The sequence below is a fragment of the Homo sapiens genome, chromosome 5, assembly GCF_000001405.40.
Source record: "Homo sapiens chromosome 5, GRCh38.p14 Primary Assembly".
NCBI lineage: Eukaryota > Metazoa > Chordata > Mammalia > Primates > Hominidae > Homo > Homo sapiens.
This window is the reverse complement of record NC_000005.10, coordinates 30,993,922-30,996,280: the sequence shown is the minus strand read 5'-3', so window position 1 is coordinate 30,996,280 and position 2,359 is coordinate 30,993,922. Positions and strand designations below refer to the sequence as shown.

Genomic DNA, 2,359 nt, shown 5'->3' with positions numbered 1-2,359 from the left:
AATGAATAACACTGGAGAATGCTTGGATCATTGATTAGAAATCATTAACCCTCTTGAAATGTTTAAAGATTTGTTAGAAATTCAGCCTTTTCCTGGACTTATTTGAGTAGTGTAGTGAATTGGTCAAACCCATTTCCCAGACTCCTGAAGGAATTTTTATCAAAGCAATGACAACACATGCTTGTGTACTTTCTTTAATTTTCAATGTATTGTTTTTTCTTTTGAACGCACATTTCAAAGGGGAAAGTACCTATTGCAGATGCTATGGATCTCATTACAGAAACACACAGATGCCATCAAAAATTTACCTGCAGGGCCCAGGATATAAATTTAGGATTTGGAGCCCAGGAGTCTGTTGAGGTAAAACCCACTGTTCTGCAGCAAACACATGTTCTGAAAATAAGAGACACAACGGCAACCAAGGGTGCATCCTTCCCATTTTTCCGGTGTAGGCCCAACTATGGAAAGTAGTTAAATTAATTCAGTCTTAGGTATTTTAGTTAGCTTTGTTAGTGCTAGTTTTGACATACAATCATCAAACTAGATATGTATGAAAGGAATACAGTTACTTAAAAAAATGCAATTGGAATTCAATTGCTCATAAGCAAGAAATTATGAGAAGGTGAGTACTTTGGTGGAGTGAAAAAAGGTACATTGTGGATAATATATGTCAATATTAAAATGTCATTACTAGATCATACTTATATCTGTTGTAAAATCTAGATGATGAAGTTATTCATTTATTCCCTTAAAAGTAAGCTTTTGCTCCTTAGAGATGGGTGTGAGAATTTAGCTTTCTCTTAGCCCAAACGTGTTATTACGTAACAAAGAAGAAAAGAAGAAAGAGATTAGGGGGAAAAGCTACTCAGTGGAGGCCAGAAGACTCTCCAAACTGAATTTTAAGTGCTGCTTCTGATGTAGGTTTCTTCTTTTTCATCAAAAAGGGTATTAAGGAAGTAACACAAGCATAATAACTGTTCACACAGCCCCTTTCACAAGATATTCTTAGTGGCTGGCATTTTTCAAGGCCTCGTGTCCAATAGTGTAATAGAACTGGTGCAGATGGTGAAGAAACAAATTCTGTGGAAGTTGCTGCAACGAGCAATATGGTATAATCTCGGACACAATGTTTTCATTGTGTTTGATGCATTCATTCATTTGCAGATGCATTCATTTGCAAATTACCCACAGCTCATATCCCTTTTCAAACTAAGAATATGTCATTCCAGGAAGGTCAGCACATCCATGACCCACTCAATTCTTTAAAAGCTTGCCCTCACTCTGGTTTTCCCCACCCCCATTTCATTTCCTTTGAGAGGCTGGAAGAGCCTCAGTGAAGAGAGGCATGGGCTCATGTGGAATATGAAGGTAATTCCCCAACTAAGCATGCCTGCATATTTTCATTACAAATATTTCATTGCAAACCACTTGAAGACAAATTGAAATTAGTGAAATTAACCATAAATTAATGGAGTAATCTTGGGAGATGGAAAGACTTACTTTGGCTACATTTACTTTGCCATAATGATGTATAAGAAGCACAGATAAAAACATACTTAAGTGGATAACTTTTATTTAGTAGGGGGATATATGTATTCTTGTAATGGGGCAAGATTATCAATGATGCTTGGGAGAAAAAAAGGAATAGAGAGCAAAGAGATTACACTAGAGGAAAAATAAACCACAAAAGGAAATATTGGTAGAATAGAATACAGTTCTCCAATAATCCGGAATCAGTGTTTCGCGTTTTTTCAAAGCCTCACAAAGTTTCAGTTTAGATTGGCCAAGATGAATATGTTGCCTGCTATATGTGCCAAAGCTAGGCCCTGAGATTCAGGGATGAATAAAACCTGCAGGGAGTTGTCAGTTGACAAAGGCATCTGGGCAGAGTGATGGCTGGCTGTGCAGGAAATTCCTCCTTGATAATGAAATCCCTGAGCTGAAACCTGAAGAACTGGCTATCTGCTCTCCATTCTAGCATTCTAGCCTATCACAAGCTTATCACTGAAGGCTCTTCTCTACATTAATTTAAGTGTATAATTGACTTGGTTTTCACTTTCTCATGTTTCGAATGCTATTCAAGACCTGAGCTTTGCCATCATTGACACTAGCTGTGCAATGCTTCCTTTGCATATATATGTCATCAGTAACATTTGCACATTTAGACTTGTTGTCTCAAGCTTGCTGCCCTTATAGAAGGGAACATTTGGAATCCAGCTAACCCTGAACACTGGAAACTACTCTTGTTTGCAACATAAAAAAATCTGTTTTCCCCTTATTTTTGACAATAGAGAGTATACGTATACTTCAAAATGTAATGTATAATTCTTGTATTCTTGTATGGACAGAAAGGGAAATA

General features: G+C 37.0%; 1 annotated feature.

Moving 5' to 3' along the window:
* Positions 341-2,105: an enhancer, noted in NCBI's record as "VISTA enhancer hs1312". NCBI's record gives its function as "enhancer in: midbrain (mesencephalon)[4/6] | forebrain[5/6]" and the evidence as "EXISTENCE:transgenic organism evidence [ECO:0001131][PMID:17130149]".